This window comes from Homo sapiens, chromosome 10 (assembly GCF_000001405.40).
Source record: "Homo sapiens chromosome 10, GRCh38.p14 Primary Assembly".
In the NCBI taxonomy this organism is placed as follows: Eukaryota; Metazoa; Chordata; class Mammalia; order Primates; family Hominidae; genus Homo; species Homo sapiens.
The window spans coordinates 68,462,716-68,485,604 of NC_000010.11; the positions used below are offsets into that span (position 1 = coordinate 68,462,716).

The window sequence follows — 22,889 nt, forward strand, 5'->3', positions numbered from 1 at the left end:
TCACGGTTAATTAAGCCTGTTTCCTCATCTGTAAGGAGGAGATAATAACTACCTTACAGTGTCAGTCTGAGGATTAAATAGAACAATGTATGTAAAGCACTTAGCTGATGGTAAGCCCTCATTAAAGTATAGGCTGGGCATGGTGGCTCACACCTATAATCCCAGCACTTTGGGAGGCCAAGGAGGGTGGATCACCTGAGGTCAGGAGTTTGAGACCAGCCTGGCCAACATGGTGAAACCCCATCTTTACTAACAAATGCAAAAAAATTAGCCGGCCATGGTGGCACACGCCTGTAATCCCAGCTAAAGAGAAGGCTGAGGCAGGAGAACCACTTGAACCTGGGAGACAGAGGTTGCAATGAGCCGAGATCACGGTGCTGTACTCCAGCCTGGGCGACAGAGCCAGATTCAAAAAGAAAAAAAAAAATCATTAAGATGTAAAGACCTGGCCGGACGCAGTGGCTCACACCTGTAATCCCAGCACTTTGGGAGGCCGAAGCGGGTGGATCACGAGGTCAGGAGATCGGGACCATCCTGGCTAACACAGTGAAACCCCGTCTCTACTAAAAATACAAAAATTCAGCCGGGCGTGGTGGCGGCCGCCTGTAGTCCCAGCTACTCGGGAGGCTGAGGCAGGAGAATGGCGTGAACCCAGGAGGCGGAGCTTGCAGTGAGCCGAGATTGTGCCACTGCACTCCAGCCTGGGGGACAGAGCAAGACTCCATCTCAAAAAAAAAAAAAAAAAAAGATGTAAAGACCATGATGATAACCATAAATACAGTGCTAACTATAGGTCAGCACTATTCCAGGCGTGGTGGCAGGCGCCTGTAGTCCCAGATCAGATACTCGGGAGGGTGAGGCAGGAGAATGGCGTGAACCCAGGAGGTGGAGCTTGCAGTGAGCCTAGTGAGCCACTGCACTCCAGCCTGAACGACAGAGGAAGACTCCATCTCAAAAAAAAAAAAAAAAGATACAACTTACAATTTTTCTCACTTGCTTAAGGGAGCACCATAATAACACATTCATCAGACATTGAGACTTCAGGATAATACACATTTACCATATAACTGTGCAATATTAAACACCAAATTTAATAAGCTGTTACTTTCCTAGGTTTCTGCCACCTCCAGCTTACCAAGACTGACAGAGCAGAGTTGTGTCAGCCCTCTGAGAGAGCCAGTCCAACAGAGAAGACAAAATTAGCAATGCTAGCTCTGCCAAAATTGACTTAAACAAAATAGCAACCACAGGTTGAAAGAGAAGCTGAAATTCCTCAAGCCAGAAAGCAACTGCTAATACCAAAGCATCCAAAAAAGATCTAGAGAAACACACATTTAGAGTACTGAAGATGAAGGTTATCCTTGCAAAAGGCTGTTTGAAATCAGGCAGTTTCCAGTTGATTAAAAATGATGTAGATGACCATATGGTCTCACAAAGTCTCATATATTGCCAGTAGAAATGTAAACTTGGACAATGTCTATAGAGAGCAATTTGGTAATATGTATCAAAATTTTAGGCCAGGCCTGGTGGCTCATGCCTGTAATCCCAGCACTTTGGGACGCCAAGGTGGGTGGATCACTTGAGGTCAGTAGTACAAAACCAGCCTGGCCAACATGGTTAAACCCCGTCTTCACTAAAAGTACAAAAAAATTAGCCGGGTGTGGTGGCTCATGCCTGTAATCCCAGCTACTCGAGAGGCTGAGGCAGGAAAATTGCTTGAACCCGGGAGGTAGAGGCTGCAATGAGCCAAGAGCAAGCCACCGCACTCCACCTTGGGTGACAGAGCAAGACTCCGTCTCGAAAACAAAACAAAACAAAACAAAAACTGGTAAGGTAGGCCGGGCGCAGTGGCTCACGCCTGTAATCCCAGCACTGTGGGAGGCCGAGGCAGGCGGATCACCTAGGTCAGGAGTTCGAGACCAGCCTCAACATGGAGAAACCCCGTCTCTACTAAAAATACAAAATTAGCCAGGCGTGGTGGTGCATGCCTGTAATCCCAGCTACTCGGGAGGCTGAGGCAGCAGAATTGCTTGAACCTGGGAGGCAGAGGTTGTGGTGACCTGAGATCACACCATTACACTCCAGCCTGGACAACAAGAGCGAAACTCCACCTCAAAAAAAAAAAAAAAAAAAAAAAAAAAAACTGGTAAGGCAGGCCAGCCATGGTGGCATGTACCTGTTGTTCCAGATACTCAGGAGGCTGAGGTGGGGAGAAACACATGAGCCCAGTCGTTTGAGTACAGCCTGGACAACATAGCAAGACCCCTATCTCCCCTCCAAAAAAAAAATACTGTAAAGCTGCATTTTTTTTTTTTTTTTTTGAGATGGAGTCTTGCTTTGTCACCCAGGCTGGAGTGCAGTGGTGTGATCTCGGCTCACTGCAAGCTCTACCTCCCGGGTTCACACCATTCTCCTGCCTCAGCCTTCCGAGTAGCTGGGACTACAGGCGCCTGCCACCATGCCCTGCTAATTTTTTGTATTTTTAGTAGAGACGGGGTTTCACCATGTTAGCCAGGATGGTCTCGATTTCCTGACTTCTGATCCGCCCACCTCGGCCTCCCAAAGTGCTGGGATTACAGGCGTGAGCCACCGCACCTGGCCGTAAAGATGCACTTTGAAACCAGTTTCATCTTCTTCCCAACCCCATATAATTCTCAGTATATCACACTGTTTCTAGAACTAATGCAAAAAAGTTCTTTATACATTCTCTGAAAGTACTTAAGGAATCTGTTATGCACATGTACAAAATATTTAGGTATTTTTACCCAAAAAGTTCCTGTTGAGCAATTTCAGAAACTCTTCACAGAGTTCCAACAATGTACTAGAACTATGAAATCTGCATTTTAGATTACACTAATTTATATTGGATAGTCTACACAAATACTTTATAGTTTCTAGGACAGAAGTTATATAATAAAATTATACCTGCAGTTCTTCTTATAACTACTTACATTTCCTTCAAATGTCTTATTTCTTGAATTGTTTGAAAAGCAAGTTCTTGTAGCTTTTCTGGGGCAAAGCTATTATTTATGGCTTTTTGAAACACCTCATGGAGAACCGTACCAATTAGCATTTGGCGTGTGGCTGGATCAGAGCTCTACAAAAGCAAATCACACAGTTTATTTCACAACATATTAACAGACACAATTGTATATTTATTACCTAATCTATTAAACCACCATAGCCAAAATGCACTGGTAAGACAAATGCCAAAATATTAAAAAAATTTTTTTCTGGTGCGTGGAATTATAAGTGACTTTCACTTTCTTCTATCCAGAATTGTCTGAATTACTGTATGAGTTATCCTTTTTTTTTTCTTTTTTGAGACAGAGTCTTGCTCTGTCACCCAGGCTGGAGCACAGTGGCACAATCTCAGCTCACTGCAACCTTCATCTCCCAGGTTCAAATGATTCTCATGCCTCAACCTCCCAAGTAGCTGGAATTACAGGTGTGTGCTATCATGCCCGGCTAACTTTTATTTTTTGTATTTTTAGTAGAGGCAGGGTTTCACCATGTTGGCCAGGCTGATATGAATTACTTTTAAAATCAATGTTCTCCATTTTGAAAAAAATTAAAATAACCAATATTTTAAAATTCAAAATATTCTCAAATAATTAATATTTAAAGTATTGTTCTCTTATTTCACTTGATAATCCACCCAATAGAAAAGTCAATAAAGGCATAGCTGATAAACTCATGTAAGTAAAAGATACCATTCAAACATAAAATGTAAACCTACTTAGCAGTAATGTTTGGGAAGAAAAAAAATTTTTTTAACCTACAGCAGAGATTTTTGGCAAGGAATTTTTCTCCACTCAAAAAGAAACACTACATTTCTTGATTAACTCTTGTATTAGCCTAGACCTTTTTTTTTTTTTTTTGAGACAGAGTTTCGCTCTGTCACCCAGGCTGGAGTGCAGCCGCGCGACTTTTGCTCACTGCAAGCTCCGCCTCCCAGGTTCACGCCATTCTCCTGCCTCAGCCTCCCGAGTAGCTGGGACTACAGGCGCCCGCCACCACACCCGGCTAATTTTTTTGTATTTTTAATAGAGATGGGGTTTGACCATGTCAGCCAGGATGGTCTTGATCTCCTGACCTCGTGATCCGCCAGCCTTGGCCTCCCAAAGTGCTGGGATTACAGGCGTGAGCCACTGCGCCCGGTCCAAAAAGTTTTTTAAAACTTAATATTCAGGCCAAGCACAGTAGCTCATGCCTATAGTCCCAGCTACTAGGGAGGCTGAGGTGGCCTGGGAGGTCAAGGCTTCAGTGACACACTGCACTCCAGCCTGGGTGACACAGTGAGACTCAAAATAAAATAAAAGTACGTTTCAAGAAAAATATATAAAAAGCTGGGTGTTGGGTACGATCATCTCTTTGTATGTTTGAAATAGCCCAAAATACATTTTTGTTTGTTTTGAGACGGAGTCTCCCTCTATCTCCCACCGTGAAGTGCAGTGGTGGGATCTCAGCTCACTGCAACCTCCGCCTCCAGGGTTCAAGCAATTCTGCCTCAGCCTCTCGAGTAGCTAGGATTACAGGCGCGCACCACAACGCCCGGCTAATTTTTGTGTATTTAGTAGAGACTGGTTTTCATCATGTTGGTCAGGCTGGTCTTGAACTCCTGACTTCATGAACTGCTCACCTCGGCCTCTCAAAGTGCTGGGATTACAGGCGTAAGCCACTGCGCCCAGCCCCAAAATACGTTTTTTTTTTGAGACTTTTTATTTTAAAATAAAACTGCATGTTTCAAGAAAAATAAATAAAAAGCTGGGTGTTGAGTACATGGGAGTTTATTACAATCATCTCTTTGTATGTTTGAAATAGTCCAAAATACATTTTTGTTTGTTTGTTTTGACACAGAGTCTTGCTCTGCCGCCCAGGCTAGACTGCAGTAGCATGATCTCGGCTCACTGCAACCTCCATCTCCCGGGTTTAAACGATTCTCCTGCCTCAGCCTCCTGAGTAGCTGGGACTACAGGTGCACGCCACCACACCTGGCTAATTTTTCTAGCAAAATACATTTTTTAAAAGCAGTTTGCACATTTATTTTTAGTTTAGTGGGAATCACATGAAGCCAACTTTGGAAATGTCTAGGTGTGTTTAAATTTAAAAGTTTATCATTTAAATTAATTTTCTTATTATAATTAGTTATTTTATTAAGCCCTGAACAAGATTCGAAGGACTCAGGCACCTGGCCTTTAGTCCTAGCACTGCCACCTCATAGTTATGTGGCTATGGGGCAAGTCACTTCACCTCTCTGAGCCCATTTTCCTCATCTATAAAATGCAGCTAATTAATACCATTTATTTTATAGGGTTGCTGGGAGGATTAAGTGAAATAATAAATGTAAAAGTGCTCTGTAAAACTCTCAGACCCTGCAGAAACATTAACTGTTACTATTATTTACCCTAAAAGTTTCACTCAGGACAGCTCTTCTCATACATCGAATACTACTGGCTATGCTGGTGCCAGAAATCAGCATGTCTGGATACAGAATCAAATATCCAAAATCTTTATCTATTATCCAAGTGTCAGATGTGCAGTCTCCCTCCAAATGAATGATATCTCCTGGCTCTACTGGAACAGAACACCTGAAAATAAAGCAAAGTTAAAGTATAAATACATAGCTTAGGTTCCTACATGTAAACGTATTAGGGAGGCTTCAAAAAAATAAATGAGTATTTTATCTGAAGAAGAAAAAAATATTTCTAAATTTCTGGGTCTTTAAAAAAAAAAATCAAATAGCAGGATACAGTCTTCTAAAACAACCCCTAGTTATTCTACCCCTTTCTATGTGTCAAACACATCTGAGAATACTCAAGGGTCTTCTATAAATCCCAAAGGGAAAACAACTTAGTGCCAGTAAAGTCTATTGCAAAAGCTATCAAAAAACCTTTGCTAATGTAATATATAGCTCCAATTATGAATTGGGTTGTTTTAATAATTTACTCTTTCTTAAGACTTTTAGGAAATCTACAGCTTGTATAAGTCTTGAAGCATGAAGCCAAATCCAGTGTAGCAAGAATAAAATCAAACTGAACTAGTTGAAACTAGGCCAGGCGCGGTGGCTCATGCCTATAATCCCAGCACTTTGGGAGGCCGAGGCAGGTGGATTCCTGAAGTCAGGAGTTCAAGACCAGCCTGGGCAACATGGTGAAACCCCGTCTCTACTAAAAATACAAAAATTAGCCGGGCGTGGTGGCGGACGCCTGTAATCCCAGCTACTTGTGAGGCTGAGGCAGGAGAATCGCTTGAACCCAGGAAGCGGAGGTTGCAGTGAGCCGCGATCACGCCATTGCACTCTAGCCTGGGCGACAGAGCAAGACTCCGTCTCCAAAAACCACAACAACAAAAAACAAATTAATTCACGGCTTAGACGAAGAGTCAAAGTTAGACCTCTAGCTTTTCTGCATCTACACTCCACCCCTCACATACCACACTTTGGGTAGAGAAATCTAAGGCCTAAGAATGTCCATATGTTTTAATTAATTTTGCTTTTAGTTAAAACTAACATGTGTTTAAACTGCAATCTTAGAATGTACTGGGAAGGCCGGGCGCGGTGGCTCACGCCTGTAATCCCACCACTTTGGGAGGCCGAGGTGGGCGGATCACGAGGTCAGGGGATTCGAGACCATCCTGGCTAACATGGTGAAACCCTGTCTCTACTAAAAATACAAAAAAAAAAAAAAAAAAAAGAATGTACTGGGAAATAGGAAGTAGTCATTAATAAGGTCCTTTGTACGTGATTTTCTTTTCTTTTTTTTGAGATGAAGTTTCGCTCTTGTTGCCTAGGCTGGAGTGCAATGGCATGATCTCAGCTCACCACAACCTCCACCTCCCAGGTTCAAGCAATTCTCCTGCCTCAGCCTCCAGAGTACCTGGGATTACAGGCAAGTGCCACCATACCCAGCTAATTTTTTTTTATTTTTAGTAGAGACTGGGTTTCTCCATGTTGGTCAGGCTGGTCTCAAACTCCTGACCTGAGGTGATCCGCCTGCCTTGGCCTCCCAAAGTGCTGGGATTACAGGTGTGAGCCACCATGCCTGGCCCACGTGATTTTCAAATGACAACAAAAGTCAATTTTTGGAATATGAGACTTGAGATACAGGAGTAATAGATACAATTTTCATGCAGAATTAGGCTAAGATCAAACCTACTCCCTTTTAAACAATTAAATTATAGTAACATTCACAGAAGCCATTTGATGAGTTTTACGACAGTACCCTTAAGATTCAAATCGGTGCTCAAAGTCACATAAAAATTACCAGTCATTCCTAAGGATGCATAGTTCTTTATTTTCTAGTGACTGTGAAGCAGTGATGACCAGGCGCTTTTCACAGTTTCCCTCTTTGTTCTGTACAGTATTGACTGCCAACACCAGGTACCGGTTATCCATTCCTGTGCTCAGAACTGTTCTTGGAAAGGAAGCTACCACTTTCTTCTGAAATCTAAAGCACACACATACAAAACTATTTTAGCACAACCATGAAATAAGAAGCCATCCAATATGTTTTATCTACAAACCAATCTTCCAGTTTTCTAGGTTTCTTTCTTCTGAAAAGCTTATTGCAATGACATTTAGACAAAATAGGTAAAATTAAGAGAGCAAAGACACAGAAGAATTCCTATTATAAAAACTTCCCAGAAGTAATGCCATTTCAAACATGCTCATGATATGAGATTTTCCATTTTAATTTCTGTAAAGCGTTCTGTGGGACACTCATTACAATGAGGATTAAGAATAAACTGGAAGCCAGGCATGATGGCGCACACCTGTAGTCCCAGCTACTCAAGAGGCTGAGGTGGAAGGACTGCTTGAGCCCAGGAGTTTGAGGCTGCAGTGAGATACGATCATGCTACTGCACCCCTTCCTGAGCGACAGAAAAAGACCCCGGTTCTGGCGGAGAAAAAAGAAAGGAAAGTATAAATTGGACAACATTAAACAAGAAATTTCTACCACTGGTGCAAGCCTTCCCAAAGTACAAGTAAAAGGAGATGTTTTGGACACGATCCTTTTTGTAAATATGAGACTTATGTTACGGAAAAGGGTATTGTCCGTGGTTCACTGAAAGTCCTATCATGAGCCACAGAATTGTACTTAGAAATAATTTAGTCCAACCTGCTAAAGTAATGCCGGAAATCTTTCGATAAAATCTCACTGGACAGAAAGCAGGCTTAATACCTATCGATTTAGCTCAATCCTTTACAGAGTAATTCAGAACTTTATTACTTATATTTATAGTGGGTAAGTCAATTTGTCAATACTTTCATCCATCGGTCCAAGCTGTCTAAAATTATGCAAAATAATAATCTCTCAAGAAAACAGCCCTTCTCCTATTAAGTACCTCTTAAGTCTTCCCCGTTTGACTGAGGCATCAGTGAGGGACCAAAGGAGGGTCCAAAGTCATTACCTCTCCAGTGATAACACCAAACGCCTTTCACATTACACTGCAAGTTATCTTTTGTTACCTGACCGTAGGTTCTATTATTTTGCAAACGCTTTATTCCTGTAGTCCACCTAACCTCAGGCCATGAATTTCGCAAGATTGGCTATGATGCCTTAAAGATGTTTCTCAAAAGGTATTGCTGATCAAAAGCCCAAACGCAAAAGTCCCTCAACGCTAATTAGCATTATTGCTATAATATTGAAAGTAATTCCACATTATGACCGTGGTTAACTTCCTCTGATCATTTATATACACCATGCTGAGGGTGCAGAGATCCCCCAAGGATAAGTTAATCCAACTAAACATCGAGAAAAGCCTACGGCGGTTGCAATTTCCTATTATAAAAACATTCCAGTGGCCGAAACTCCTCAACTTAGGGAGAGAGGTGAAATCAAGGGAAACAATGAACTGCTCGGCGAGGGAGAGTCCAGGCTCTGGCTGAATGTGGCCCCAAAGAACACCTTGGGAGGCAGGCCCCGACTCCGGAGGCTCGTCGGGTGCCCAGGGAGCTGCACCGGGTCCCTGGGCCCCGGGCCCGGTCAGTCTGAGGCGGTGCGGACGCAGCCTCTCCCGCTCCTTCTTTCAAATCTCCCGCTTTGTTCCCACACCCTCCCCCCTCTCCGCTCACAGCTCCGCCGGCAGCTCCGCCTCCTCCCAAAAACTCTTCTCCATCAGCAGCTCCAGTTCGTTCAGCTGCTCCATCCTGGACGCGGGGATCGCAAACTGTAGACAGAAAAGACAGCGGAACCGGGGGTAACACAGAAAGCTTAGAAAAGGGAAAAAGGCGCGAGCCTGCGCACCTCGCGCGCATGCGCCAACCCGCAGATGTCCCAAATGACCTGCGCCAGGCCGCCCCTCCCGCGCCGGCGCGTTCCACGTGGGGCCCCTCACCTGAGCAGCAGGGCTCTGTCCCCTGCCTTTGCTCCCTTGCTTAGGACTGGGAATACAGGGAGTCTTCATATCTGAAGCAGACTAAACGCTCCTGCCTTCTCTCTTGACACTCCAACCCGTGTCCGAAACCTCCCGGGTTCACACCATTCTCCTGCTTCAGCCTCCCAAGTAGCTGGGACTACAGGCGCCCAGCTTAGTTTGAACACAACCTTTACACGCTTAGTTTGAACACAACCACATTTGTAGTTGCCCAAAACCAGGCGCCCCTGGTTAGCCTTCAGAATTGTGCACTCCCTGGGAAACAGCCTCTCCCCTTTTTTTCAGAAAACTTATTGAGAAAATAGAAACTGTCGGATAGGAACTCCTTGATCATGCCACGGCTAAATCTACAAAACTTCTGGCCAGGCATGGAGGCTCACGCCTGTAATCCCAGCACTTCGGAAGGCTGAGGCGGGAGGATCACGAGGTCAGCAGTTGAGACCAGCCTGGCCAACATGGTGAAACGCCATCTCTACTAAAAATACAAAAATTAGCCGGGCGTGGTGGCATGCGTCTGTAATCCCAGCTACTCGGGAGGAGGCTGAGGTAGAATAAATTGAACACGGGAGGTGGAGATTGCAGATCCTGCAACGGCACTCCAGCCTGGGTAGAGCGAGACTCCGTCTCCAAAAAAAAAAATTCTACAAAACTTCTAATATCTGCACCATTCTTCATAACCTCTTTCCACCTTTTTTCAATAGCAGACAAAGTGTTCTTCTGGTTAAAGGGCAATCGCTCCACTTGCACTTGGCATCCCAGGGCTTCAAGCATTCTCAAGGGCATCGCTTCTTCAATTATTCTCTTGTATCATCAGCCTCGCCCTCACTATTGGATTGAGCCTCTAATATGGCCTGGTGTCTCCCATTTTTAAAAGATGTTTCCTTGCTGGGCACAGTGGTGTGCACCGATTTTTGATATTTATATACTTCTCTCATCTGGAGGCACTGACAAGAACATCCAGAGCCATGTTAAATATCAGTGGTATAACTGTTATCCTGATTTTTGTTATTCATTTTTTAAATAGATAAAATGCGCCGGGTGCCCGGTGGCTCAGGCCTGTAATCCCAACACCTTGGGAGGCCGAGGCGGGTGAATCACTTGAGGTCAGGAGGTCAAGACCAGCCTGGCCAACATGGTGAAACCCAGTCTCTACTAAAAATATAAAAATTAGCCGGGTGTGGTGGTGCACTCCTGTAATCTCAGCTACTCAGAAGACCGAGGCAGGAGAATCACTTGAGCCTGGAAGGCAGAGGTTGCAGTGAGCTGAGATCACACCACTGTACTCCAGCCTAGGTGAAAGAGTGACTCAGTCTAAAAGAAAAAAAAAATTGGCAAAAAGTTAATATATTTATCATGTACATGGGCTTTCAAATATGTACACACTGGAATGGGAGTTATTCTATTAGTATTTGTCCCTGATATCAACAGCTTTATGACCTACCTTTGCAAGTGATATAACATCACGGTAGTCACAGGCCCACTCAGCCAGATTCAAGGGAAGGGGAACACAGTTCCTACCTCTTGATGGGATGAGTGTCAACGACACATAAGAAAAGCATATGGGGCCTGGTGGCTCACGCCTGTAATCTCATCACTTTGGGAGGCTGAGGCGGAAGGATCATCTGAGGTTAGGAGTTTGAGACCAGCCTGGCCAACATGGCAAAACCCCATCTCTACTAAAAATACAAAAATTAGCCAGACATGGTGGCGCATGCCTGTGATCTCAGCTACTTGGGAGGCTGAGACAGGAGAATCGCTTGGACCTGGGAGGCAGGGGTTACAGTGAGCAAGATTGTGCCACCGCACTCCAGCCTGGGCAACAGCGAGAATCCATCTAAAAAAAAAAATAAAACCATATGAATTGGGATGTGTTCTGGTCATTGTTGGAAAGTATAAAGGTATACTCTGCCAAAATGTCCTTTATTAGATTGAGGAAGACCCCTTTGTTCTAAATATGATTCATTTTGATAACGAATAAATGCTGGATTTTGTCAAGCAGTTATTGCATCTATAGAAGGACTGTATGGTTTTTCTCCTTTATTCTGTTATTATGAGAAGCTTTACCATTGATTTCACAATGTTAAAAAAAACTTTGCATTCCTAGGATAAACCCAAATTGGTCATGACATAATAAACGTTTTATGTATTACTGGATTTGATTTGCTCTGTTGTTAAGAATTTTTCCATCTGTTGGTTTTTTGGTTGTTTTGTTTCTTGAGACAGGAACTTGCTCTGTCACCCAGGCTGTAGTGCTGTGGCACAATGACAGCTCACTGCAGCCTCGATCTGCCAGGCTCAAGTGATTCTCCCCTATCAGCCTCTCAAGTAGCTGAGACTACAGGAGTGTGCCATCACACCCAGCTAATTTATTTTTTTATTTTTAGTAGACACAAGCTCTTGCTGTGTTGCCCAAGCTGGTCTTGAACTCCTAAGCTCAAGCAATCCTCTCAACTCAGCCTCCCAAAGTGCTGGGATTATGGGTGTGAACCACCAAACCCAGCCCATCTAAGTTCTTGAAGGATACTGATTTGTAATTTTCTGTTTTATAACAGCATTGTGGGGTTTGGGTATCAGGGTTATACTGGCATCATAAAATGAGTTGGGAAGTGCTCTCTTCTAATTTCTAGAAGTTTCTGAGATTATTCCTTAGCTATTTAGTACACTTCACTACCTAGCCCTGGGGTTTTCTTTGTGGAAAGGTTTTTTTTTTTTTTTTTTGAGACGGAGTCTCGCTCTGTCACCCAGGCTGGAGTGCAGTGGCGTGATCTCGGCTCACTGCACACTCCACCTCCCGGGTTCACACCATTCTCCTGCTTCAGCCTCCCAAGTAGCTGGGACTACAGGCACCCACCACCACACCCGGGTAATCTTTTGTATTTTTAGTAGAGATGGGGTTTCACCGTGTTAGCCAGGATGGTCTCGATCTCCTGACCTTGTGATCCGCCCGCCTCGACCTCCCAAAGTGCTGGGATTACAGGCATGAGCCACCGTGCTTGGCCACTGCCGTATCTTTTTAAATGAAAGTACTTGTGTTTTTTTTGTTTTTTTTCAAAGGATATCTGGGTCATCTATGATGTTACTGTTACCATCTAAGGGTTTTTTTGTTTGTTTTTGAGACAGAGTCTCTGTCACCCAGGCTGGAGTGCAGTGGCATGATCTTGGCTCACCACAACCTCCACCTCCTAGGTTCAAGCAATTCTCCTGCCTCAGCCTTTCAAGTAGCTGGGATTACAGGCATGTGCCACCACGCCCAGCTAATTTTGTATTTTTAGTAGAGACGAGGTTTCTCCATGTTGGTCAGGGTAGTCTCGAACTCCCAACCTCAGGTGATCCACCCGCCTCAGCCTCCCAAAGTGTTGGGATTGCAGGCGTGAGCCACCACGCCCGGCCCTCAATTTCTTAATTTTTTGAGACAGGGTCTCACTCTGTCACCCAGACTGGAATGCAGTACTGCAATAACAACTCACTGTAGCCTTGACCTCCCTAGACTCAGTTGATCCTCCTACCTCAGCCTCCCAAGTAGCTGAGACTATAGGTGCACATCACTATGTCCAGGTATATTTTTAAAAGCAGACACAGGGTCTCACTATGTTGTTTGGGCTGGTCTCAAAATCCTGGGCTCAAGTGATCCTCCCATTTTGGCCTCCCAAAGTGCTGGGATTACAGGCATGAACCACTACGCCTGGCCTCACTTTCTTTAATTGGCTACACAGATTTTCTGTTTCATCTATGTCAGTCTTGGTTGAATTTTTCAAGGTATTTTTCCATTTCATATAAATTGTCAAATTTCTTTTTTTTGTTGTTTTTTTTGTGTTTGTTTTTTTGAGACAGGTTCTGGCTCTATTATCTAGGCTGGAGTGCAGCCTAATCTCAGCTCACTGCAACTTTCCCCTCCCAGGATCAAGCCATCCTCCCACCTCAGCCTCCCAGGTAGTTGGGACCACAGGCGTGCGCGAACACACCCAGCTAATTTTTGTATTTTTTGTAGAGATGGCGTTTAGCCATATTGGCCAGGCTGTACTCCAACTCCTGAGCTCAAGCTGCCCACCCACCTTGGCCTCCCAAAATTCTGGGATTACAGGTATAAGCCACCACACACGCCTGGCCCTTAATATCTTTTAAACATCTGTAGGATCCACAATGATGTCCTCTTTCTCATTCTTGAGATTTGGGGTTTATTTTCTCTATTGTCTTTTTAATTTTTATTTCTGTTTTTGTTTGTTTTTCAGACCGAGTTTCGCTCTTATTGCCCAGGCTGGAGTGCAATGGCGCGATCTCGGCTCACCACAACATTCACCTCCCAGATTCAAGGAATTCTCCTGCCTCAGCCTACCGAGTAGCGGGGATTACAGGGTTGCATCATCACAACTGGCTAATTTTTCTATTTTCAGTAGAGAGAGGGTTTCTCCATGTTGGTCAGGCTGGTCTTGAACTCCTGACCTCAGGTGATCCAACCACCTCGGCCTCCCAAAGTGCTGGGATTACAGGTGTGATCCCAGCCTTTTATTTCTGTTTTAACTGCAAACCATCACTGACAAAGCAGTGATCTTTGTAAAAACATAATCAGACAACGACACCAGCTGAAAATCTTCAATAGTTTCCCGTTGCATTCTTTTTTTTTTTTTTTTTGATATGGAGTCTCACTCTGTTACCCAGTCTGGAGTGCAGTGGCGTGATCACAGCTCATTGCAACCTCCACCTCCTGGGTTCAAGCAATTCTCCTCCCTCAGCCTCCCAAGTCGCTGGGATTATAGACGTGCACCACCACGCCCAGCTATTTTTTGTATTTTTAGTAGAGACAGCATTTCACCATCTTGGCCAGGCTGGTATCAAACTCCTGACCTCAGGTGATTCGCCAGCCTCGGCTTCCCAAAGGGCTGGGATTACAGGTGTGAGCCACTGCACCCGGCCTTCCCATTGCATTTAGAATAAAAAACAAAATCATTACCATATCCTGTAAACGGCTACATGATCTGGCCTTTGTCTATTTATTTCTTTTTTTTTTTTTTGAGATGGAGTCTTACTCTGTCACCAGGCTGGAGTGCAGTGGCGCGATCTCAGCTCACTGCAATCTCCACCTCCTGGGTTCAAGTGATTCATCTGCCTCAGCCTCCCGAGTAGCTGGGACTACAGGTGCACACCACCACGCGCGGCTAAGTTTTGTATTTTTAGTAGAGATGGGGTTTCACCATGTTAGCCAGGATGGTCTTGATCTTTTTTTTTTTTTTTTTTTTTTTTTTTTTGAGATGGAGTCTCAGTCTGTCACCCAGGCTGAAGTGCAATGGCGTGGTCTCAGTTCACTGCCACCTCTGCCTCCCAGATTCAAGCTATTCTACCACCTCAGCCTCCCGAGTAGCTGGGACTACAGGCACATGCCACCACACCCGGCTAATTTTTGTATTTTTAGTAGAGACAGAGTTAACACTATGTTGGCCAGGCTGGTCTTGAACTCCTGACCTTGTGATCCGCCCACCTCAGCCTCCCAAAGTGCTGGGAATACAGTAGTGAGCCACCGTGCCTGGCCTGGTCTTGATCTCTTGACCTCGAGATTCGCCCACCTCAGCCTCCCAAAGTGCTGGGATTATAGGCATGAGCCACCATGCCCCACCGCCTTTGTCTATTTCTTTGACTCCATCTGTTGCTACTCCTTCACGCACAATACTTCAGTCACACCAGCCTTTCGGCAATTCCATTGTCAAACCAAACTTTTTCCTGTTTCAGGGTTTTTGTGCTTGGCGTTCTCTTCACCTGGGCCAGTCTTTCCCCTGAACTCTTTGCATGGCTGTTTCCTTTTCATCCTCCATGTGTCTGTTGAATGTACATATAGCACATCAAAGAAACCTTTCCTTGACCATTCTCAAGTAGCTTATTTACTGTTTTCATAAGCACTTTCCACAAGCTGTAATTATTTTATTGCTTGGTATGTTTATTGACAAGTTCAAATTTAATGACATGTTACAGTTTCATTTGAACAGTGTATTACTGTATTAAAGTATAGCATCATAGCTAAAAGAATAGGCTCTAGATTCAGACCGGCTGAATTTGAATCCTAGATCTGCCACTTACATGAACCTGGCCAAGTAATTTAATCTCCCTAGGCCTCGATTATTCCCATCTGTCAAAAAGAAATATTAAATGGTACTTATATCATAGTATTGTAATGGAGATTGAGCTAAGGCATCAAAGGTGCTTAAAACAAGGAATGCCACATAATTCTTCAGGAAATATATGTAATTGTTATTATTTATCACCAGTTTCTAGTGCCCAATACTAGAATGTGTCTGGGTTTCAAAGAATAGATGCGAGGAACTATGTAAAGTGTATGCTTGCTATACAAGTGTGTCAGGTATTATTGATCCAACTCTGCAAGGCAACCCATTAATTGTACATAGTTTGGGAATAATCCTTGGGGAAAAAAAATAAATAATTATACATAGGGTTTTTTAAAAAAACATTTTATATAAAAAAATGAGACAGAGTCTTGCAATGTTGCCCAGGCTGGGCTCGAATGCCTAGGCTCAAGTGATCCTCCTCGCTCAGCCTCCCAAAGGGCTAGAATTACAGACATGAGTCACTTCACCCAGCCATAAAAACTATTTATAAGTTTTATTTTATATATATATATGATATGTATACATATATTTTTTATTTTATATATTCATTTATTTTTATTTTTATTTTTTGGGACAGAGTCTCACTCTGTCACCCAGGCTGGAGTGCAGTGGGGCAATCTTGGCTCACTGCAACCTCCGCCTTCTGGGTTCAAGCAATTCTCCTACCTCAGCCTCCCAAGTAGCTGGGACTACAGGCGCCCACCACCATGCCTGGCTAATTTTTATATTTTTAGTAGAGATGGGATTTCACCATGTTGGCCAGGATGGTCTTGATCTCCTGACCACGTGATCCGCCCACCTTGGCCTCCCAAAGTGCTGGGATTACAGGCGTGAGCCACCATGCCCGGCCAGGTTTTATTATATATTTGCCACTCATGCTGGCAAATCAGCAATAAGACATTTCTGCGAAGCAAACCAAATGACTTTATTCCTAAATTGTTTATTTCTTGAACTATTTGTGCTTCATTTCTGCCTGCTAGAACATAAAGTCTTCAAAAACAGGGACTAACCCTTCCTTCTACCCACCAGTAAACATCACTGAGTACCACTCTGACGCCATACCCTGTGCTCCCTGCCCTTGAAGGAACCAGATATTGGGATGTGGGGACACTGATAAACAGGCAGTTAGCAGAAAGTGTGGCACATACTCTATTAGAGAAATACCTGGTGTTATATGCTGATTTGGGAACCCAAATCAGATTGCAAGTACAGCTAACAAGCCTCCCAAGGGAAGTCCTCCATAATGCTGACACAAGGTCTGGCACACAATTGGTGCTGAATAAATGGATGGTCAGTACCACGGTGAAGAATGGAATGAGGACAGGAGCACTGGCTCATGCCAGTAGTCCCAGCATTTTGGGAAGTCGGGGGGGCAGATCACTTGAGGTCAGGTATTCAAGACCAGCCTGGCCAACAGGGCAAAACCCAGCTCTACTAAATACACAAAAATTAGCTGGGCGTGGTGGCGGGTGCTTGTAACCCCAGCTACTCGGGAGGCTGAAGCAGGAGAATCGCTAGAACCCAGGAGGTGGAGGTTGCAGTGAGCTGAGATCACACCACTGCACTCCAGCCTGGGCACTCCAGCCTGGGCAACAGAGTGAGGCTCTGTCTCAAAAAAAAAAAAAAAAAAGAAAGAAAAGAAAGAAAAATACAAAACTCAGCTGGGCATGGTAGCACATAGCTGTAATCCCAGTTACTTGGAAAGATGACTCGGGAAAATCGCTTGAACCCGGAGGTGGAGATTGCAGTGAGCCGAGATTGCACCACTGCACTCCAGCTTGGGTGACAGAGTTAAGACTCTCGTTAAAAAAAAAAAAAAAAGAATGTAATGAGATATTATTAAACATATCCAGTAACTTCTCCACCTTCTACAGGTAATTACTGAAAACTAGGAGGTATACCTCACTTATCAATCTGGAAACCAGACCACTGTCCCATTCTACAGACCAGAGAGCTATACCCACTGAGAGGTGGAAGAGAGGAACAATAAAGATCAAAAAAGAAATAAAATGTCAGTCTTCAAATGGAAGATAACCTGGCAAGATGCACTTTGGGCAATCTGAAATAAATCAGATATAAACACAGTCATTATTTTAAATATTCTTCCATTCTGACTTATGTTTAGCATTTGTGCTTCAATATGTAAACAGTTGAAAGAAAGAAATTGTCAAAACATGGATAAAATTTATTTTTAATATCCTCTGTATTCTATAACATATAGAATGCAAATTTTTATTTAAAAGATATTTGCAATCCCCTTTTACTGATAACCTAACTGAGGTATCTTTTTTTTTTTTTTTTTTTTTTTTGAGATGGAGTCTTGCTCTGTCGCCCAGGTTAGAATGCAGTGGCACGATCTCGGCTCACTGCAAGCTCCGCCTCCCAGGTTCAAGTGATTCTCCTGTCTCAGCCTCCTGAGTAACTGGGACTACAGGTGCGTGCCACCACGCCCAGCTAATTTTTTGTATTTTTAGTAGAGATAGGTTTTCACCGTGTTAGCCACAATGGTCTCGATTTCCTGACCTCGTGATCCCCCCGCCTCAGCCTCCCAAAGTGCTGAGATTACAGGGGTGAGCCACCATGCCCGGCTCAATACTTATTTTATATACTTAAATTATCTTAACATTTAATAACAATAATTAGCTACAGTGTGGTCTAGAAATGAAAATATACAAATGGTTTTAAGAACACATGTATTTCTTTTTTTTTTCTTTTATACAGTCTCTGTATAAAAGAAATTTTTGTACAGCCTTTTTTTTTCTTTTATACAGTCTCACTCTGTATAAAAGAAATTTTTATACAGGCTTTTATACAGCCACCCAGGCTGGAGTGCAATGGCGCAATCTTGGCTCACTGCAACCTGTGCCTCCTGGGTTCAAGCAATTCTCCCTGCCTTAGCCTCCCAAGTAGCTGGGATTACAGGCGCCCGCCACCATGCCCGGCTGATTTTTGTATTTTTAGTAGAGACAGGGTTTCTCCACGTTGGCCAGTCTGGTCTTGAACTCCTGACCTCAGGTGATCCACTCGCCTTAGCCTCCCAAAATGCTGGGATTACAGGCGTGAGCCACCACATCTGGCCAAGAACACATGTATTTCTACCTACTGGTACACTTATAAATCATACAAAGATACATACTTATTTTTAAAATAAAGGCTTTCAAAATGAAACCAGCTCATCAAATTTTTACCAAGGTATGACAAGAAACCTTTTATGTAAAGAAATAAAAATTGAAGCAAAAATAACACTTTCAACTTAGTTTTCCTTCTTTTGTTTGAAAGAAACGGGGTCTCACTATGTTGCCCAGGCTGGTCTCGAACTCCTGGGGTCAAGATATCCTCCCGCCTCAGCCTCCCAAAGTGCTAGGGTTACAGGCAAGAGCCACCACGCCTGGACTCAACTTAGTTTTCTAATGTCTCCTTTTTTTTGAGATGGAGGCTCATTCTGTCACCCAGGCTGGAGTGCAGTGGTGTGATCTCAGCTCACTGCAACCTCCGCTTCCCGAGCTCAAGCAATTCTCATGTCTCAGCCTCGCGAGTAACTGGGACTACAGGCACGAGCCACCACACCTGCTACTTTTTGTATTTTTAGTAGAGGTGGGGTTTCACCATGCTGATCTTAAACTCCTGACTTCAGGTGATCCACCCAACTCGGCCTCCCAAAGTGCTGGGAATAAAGGCGTGAGCCACCACACCTGGCCTTCTAATGTCTTTAAAGTCACATCAAAGGGCCGGGCGCCGTGGCTCACGCCAGTAATCTCAGCACTTTGGGAGACCAAGGTGGGCAGATCATGAGGTTCAGGAGATCGAGGCCATCCTGGCTAACACGGTGAAATCCCGTCTCTACTAAAAATACAAAAATTAGCCAGGCGAATTTTTGGTGGTGGGCACCTGTAGTCCCAGCTACTCGGGAGACTGAGGCAGGAGAATCACTTGAACCCGGGAGGCAGAGGTTGCAGTGAGCTGAGATCGCGCCACTGCACTCCAGCCTGGGCGATAGAGCGAGACTCCATCTCAAAAAAAAAAAAAAAGTCACATCAGTTCTACAAATTACTCTTTCTGAACACAGAACTTTAAATATTCCCTTCCCATTTATGACACGCTTATAATAAATCATAAAAAGTACTCTAAACAGAATAAATGGAATTCTTACATTTTAAAACATTTTCTTAATATAAAGGATAACAATTCAAATCATATTTTACATTTCTACGTCTTCATATTGCACTAAAATTATTTTACATGGAAGAACTAGTTGATGCATCATAATACCTTAGAAACATTTTTTGATATTCACATCTATATTAATAAATATTTCACAGTCTACTTAAATATTCTACTATAGAGCAAATCATCTAACAAAAACAAATCTATAGTGTTACTTTTTTTTTAAGAGCAAAGATATTCAGTATTTTTATTTCTGCCTCTGGGAAACACACTGACATTTTAAAACACATGTAAGTCACTCATAGTACCTCATAATAACATTTGAGCAAGACTTAGTCGTTCATTCATTTATTAAGTGGGGTTTCATGATGTTGCATAGGCTGGCATGGAATTCCAGGGCTCAAGTGATCCTCTCACCTCAGCTTCCAGAGTAGCTGGGACCACATGCCCATCCCACCATGTCCAGCTTCTTCATTTATTTTTGTGTCTCTACATGGCTACCTTTTAAATACAACATTAATTTTATTTAAAAAATGAAGGAAAGAAGTGTTTTTCCTATTATCCAGTGGAGCATAATTGTGAGAAGAGAGATAACAAAAATAAAATGTCAATGCTGGCTGTTTCATAGAACTTAAAAATTCAATTCTCATTATTCTATTGCAATATAACCAACCCTGTTTATTTTAATAATAATAAACACTGTCAGTCTTTTAAAAACCATGATAACAATTAAAAACTTTGAACAGCATGACAAAGCTAATGGCAACCTCTTGAACCCCGTTTTAAAGCTAGTTCTACTTCCAAATAAAACTTTAAAGCGGTTTAGCCAGCATCAGCTTAGGAATATTTTCTTCAATGTTCTAAGGTATAATGTTTGGCATCAAAAAGTATGGTAAGCAGTTCTGATTTGTGACTAAAGAAAAAATAATCAAGTACTAAAATACCAGTGGCTCTTGTGACAGGGTAAATATCCCCATTCAAGTAATGTTCCCCCCACAATTATAGTAATGTTTCATTTCTCCCTCTGAGAATGTATTAAGAAAAACCAACCATAATTTTTTTTTAGTTGAGGTGAAAAAACTGCTTCATAAGTTCGTATGTTGTAAAAGCCACTGCTTGAGAGGGAATACAGCGAATGTAATTAAGAGATAAACCACGATAGAGTCCTTTTCGAATTCCATGGTGTCCATAGACATACTTCATAGTATCCCGCATGGTACTGAAAGACAATGATTAAATGATGACCTCTATGCCCACTCATGAAGAAACAATTTCAGGATCCATAATATCAATTTTGTTTTTTTGAGATGGACTCTTGCTCTGTCACCCAGATGGGAGTGTGGATTGCAGTGGCATGATCTTGGCTCACTGCAGCCTCTGCCTCCCAGGTTCAAGTGATTCTCCTGCTTCAGTCTCCTGAGTAGCTGGGATTACAGGCACGCGCCACCATGCCCAGCTAATTTTTGTAATTTTTAGTAGAGACGGGGTTTCTCCATGTTGCCCAGGCCAGTCTCAAACTCCTGACCTCAGGTGATCCACCCACCTTGGCCTCCCAAAGTGCTGGGATTACAGACATAAGCCACCTCGCTCGGCCCATAATATTAATTTTTAAAGAAGGTTAAATGCCATCTTGAATAGCTTTAGAAAGACAAATGTTTTAACAAGTGAAAATTTTTTCATAATAAAAAGGCAAGTCATTCTAAACAAGTACAAGCATTATGCATCAAATTTCAGGACTCATTAGTACAACATATTTTGTTTGTACTATGTCTATGACATTTACTGGACAACAACTATTTCATACTTATATTTGAAATACTAATGCAATCCTTTTAAAGGATGTATATCCAGTTGCCCTTTAAGCCTTTATTATAGCTCAAGTTGTATAGTATCAACAGCAGGTGGTTATAGAACTAAAGCTTGAAGGACTATCTTTCAGATTTCAGCAATGAACACTTTCCTGTTTCAGAGTTGTTCCTTTCCTTTCAAACCAATAATTTGGGCTTGGGCTTTCCCTTTCAATAGGCAATCTGGACCGAAATCTTTTCAAAAATCTTTTTTTTTTTTTTTTTTTAAGAGACAGGTTCTCACTCTGTTGCCTAGGCTGGAGTGCAGTGGCAATCATAGCTCACAACAGCCTCCAACTCCTGGGCACAAGCAATCCTCCCACCTCAGCCTCTTCAGTAGCTGAGACTACAGGCACACACCACCATGCCTCACTAAATTTTTTGTTTGTTTGTTTTTAGTTAAAAAAAATTTTTTTAGAGCCAAGGTCTTACAATGTTTTCCAAGCTGATCTCAAACTCCTGGCCTCAAGTGAACCTCCCACCTCAGCCTCTCAAGTAGCTGGATACAACAAGCACAGGGTAATGCTCCCAGCCCAAAAAATCTTTTGGGTGAACACGGCAATCCAAATTCATGAACAAATGTTCTGCTCTTCCCCTGAGAGACAACATATCACCAATCAAATGGAATGGTTCTAAATTACTATAAAGAAAACTCTGGAGCTGTGCTATACAATCACAGCAGCCACTAGCCACATATGGCTATTAAGCACTTGAAATGTGGCAGTCCAAATCAAGACGTGCTGTGAGTGTAAAATACACCCTGGATTTCAAATAGTTTGTATTTAAAAAAAAGAAACAAAATAATGAAATGTTGAGGTGATAAAAGTTTAGGTTAAACAAAAAATATTTTTAACAATTATATATATATTTTTTCTTCTTTTTCTTTTCTTTTTTATTGACACGCAGCCTCGCTGCCAGGCTGGAGTGCAGTAGCACGATCTCGGCTCACTGCAACCTCCGTCTCCTGGGCTCAAGTGATTCTTGTGCCTCAGCTTCCAGAGTATCTGGGACTACAGGCGCACACCGCCACACCCAGCTAATTTTTTTGTATTTTTAGTAGAGATGGGGTTTCACCATGTTGACCAGGATGGTCTTGATCTCCTGACCTTGTGATCCTCCCGCGTCAGCCTCCCAAAGTGCTGGGATTACAGGTGTGAGCCACCGCGTCCCAGCCCTTTTTCTTTTTTAGACAGAGTCTCGCTCTGTCGCCCAGGCTGGAGTGCAGTGGCATGATCTTGGCTAACTGCAACCTCCGCCTCCCAGGTTCAAGCAATTCCCTGCCTCAGCCTCCTGAGTAGCTGGTATGACAGGCACCTGCCACCAGCCCAGCTAATTTTTTTTGTATTTTTAGTAGAGACAGGTTTCACCATCTTGGCCAGGTTGGTCTT

At 43.1% G+C, this 22,889-nt stretch overlaps 2 protein-coding genes across 10 annotated transcripts in view, besides 1 other annotated feature; both read right to left on the reverse strand.

Moving 5' to 3' along the window:
• The window catches only part of DNA2 (DNA replication helicase/nuclease 2), a 58,458-nt gene extending 48,652 nt beyond the window's left edge, over positions 1 to 9,806 (reverse strand). The window contains exons 1-5 of one of the 4 annotated variants that reach the window (NR_102264.2): positions 9,339 to 9,406; positions 9,076 to 9,170; positions 7,266 to 7,448; positions 5,408 to 5,591; positions 2,952 to 3,097 (exon numbers count right to left, since the gene is read on the reverse strand). Coding sequence is in view for 2 of the 4 variants with exons in the window: in XM_006717680.3 (XP_006717743.1) it covers positions 2,952 to 3,097; positions 5,408 to 5,591; positions 7,266 to 7,448; positions 9,076 to 9,170; positions 9,339 to 9,407 (677 nt within the window). In the remaining 2 variants the exon portion in view is untranslated. Of the gene's footprint in view, positions 1 to 2,951; positions 3,098 to 5,407; positions 5,592 to 7,265; positions 7,449 to 9,075; positions 9,259 to 9,338 lie in introns of those variants that run through there. The other 3 variants (XM_006717680.3, NM_001080449.3, XM_017015799.1) reach the window with 3 other exon arrangements.
• Positions 11,624 to 11,824: a silencer, noted in NCBI's record as "peak997 fragment used in MPRA reporter construct". NCBI's record gives its function as "represses an SCP1 promoter by STARR-seq MPRAs in K562 erythroleukemia cells {active_cell/tissue: K562}" and the evidence as "EXISTENCE:reporter gene assay evidence [ECO:0000049][PMID:32103011]".
• The window catches only part of SLC25A16 (solute carrier family 25 member 16), a 49,526-nt gene continuing 41,919 nt past the window's right edge, over positions 15,283 to 22,889 (reverse strand). For 3 of the 6 annotated variants that reach the window (NM_001324317.2, NM_152707.4, NM_001324314.2), the window contains one exon: positions 15,283 to 20,873. In NM_001324317.2, the coding sequence (NP_001311246.1) occupies positions 20,717 to 20,873 (157 nt within the window). In that variant the 3' untranslated portion in view covers positions 15,283 to 20,716. Of the gene's footprint in view, positions 20,902 to 22,889 lie in introns of all 6 variants that reach the window. The other 3 variants (NR_136737.1, NM_001324315.1, NM_001324312.2) reach the window with 2 other exon arrangements.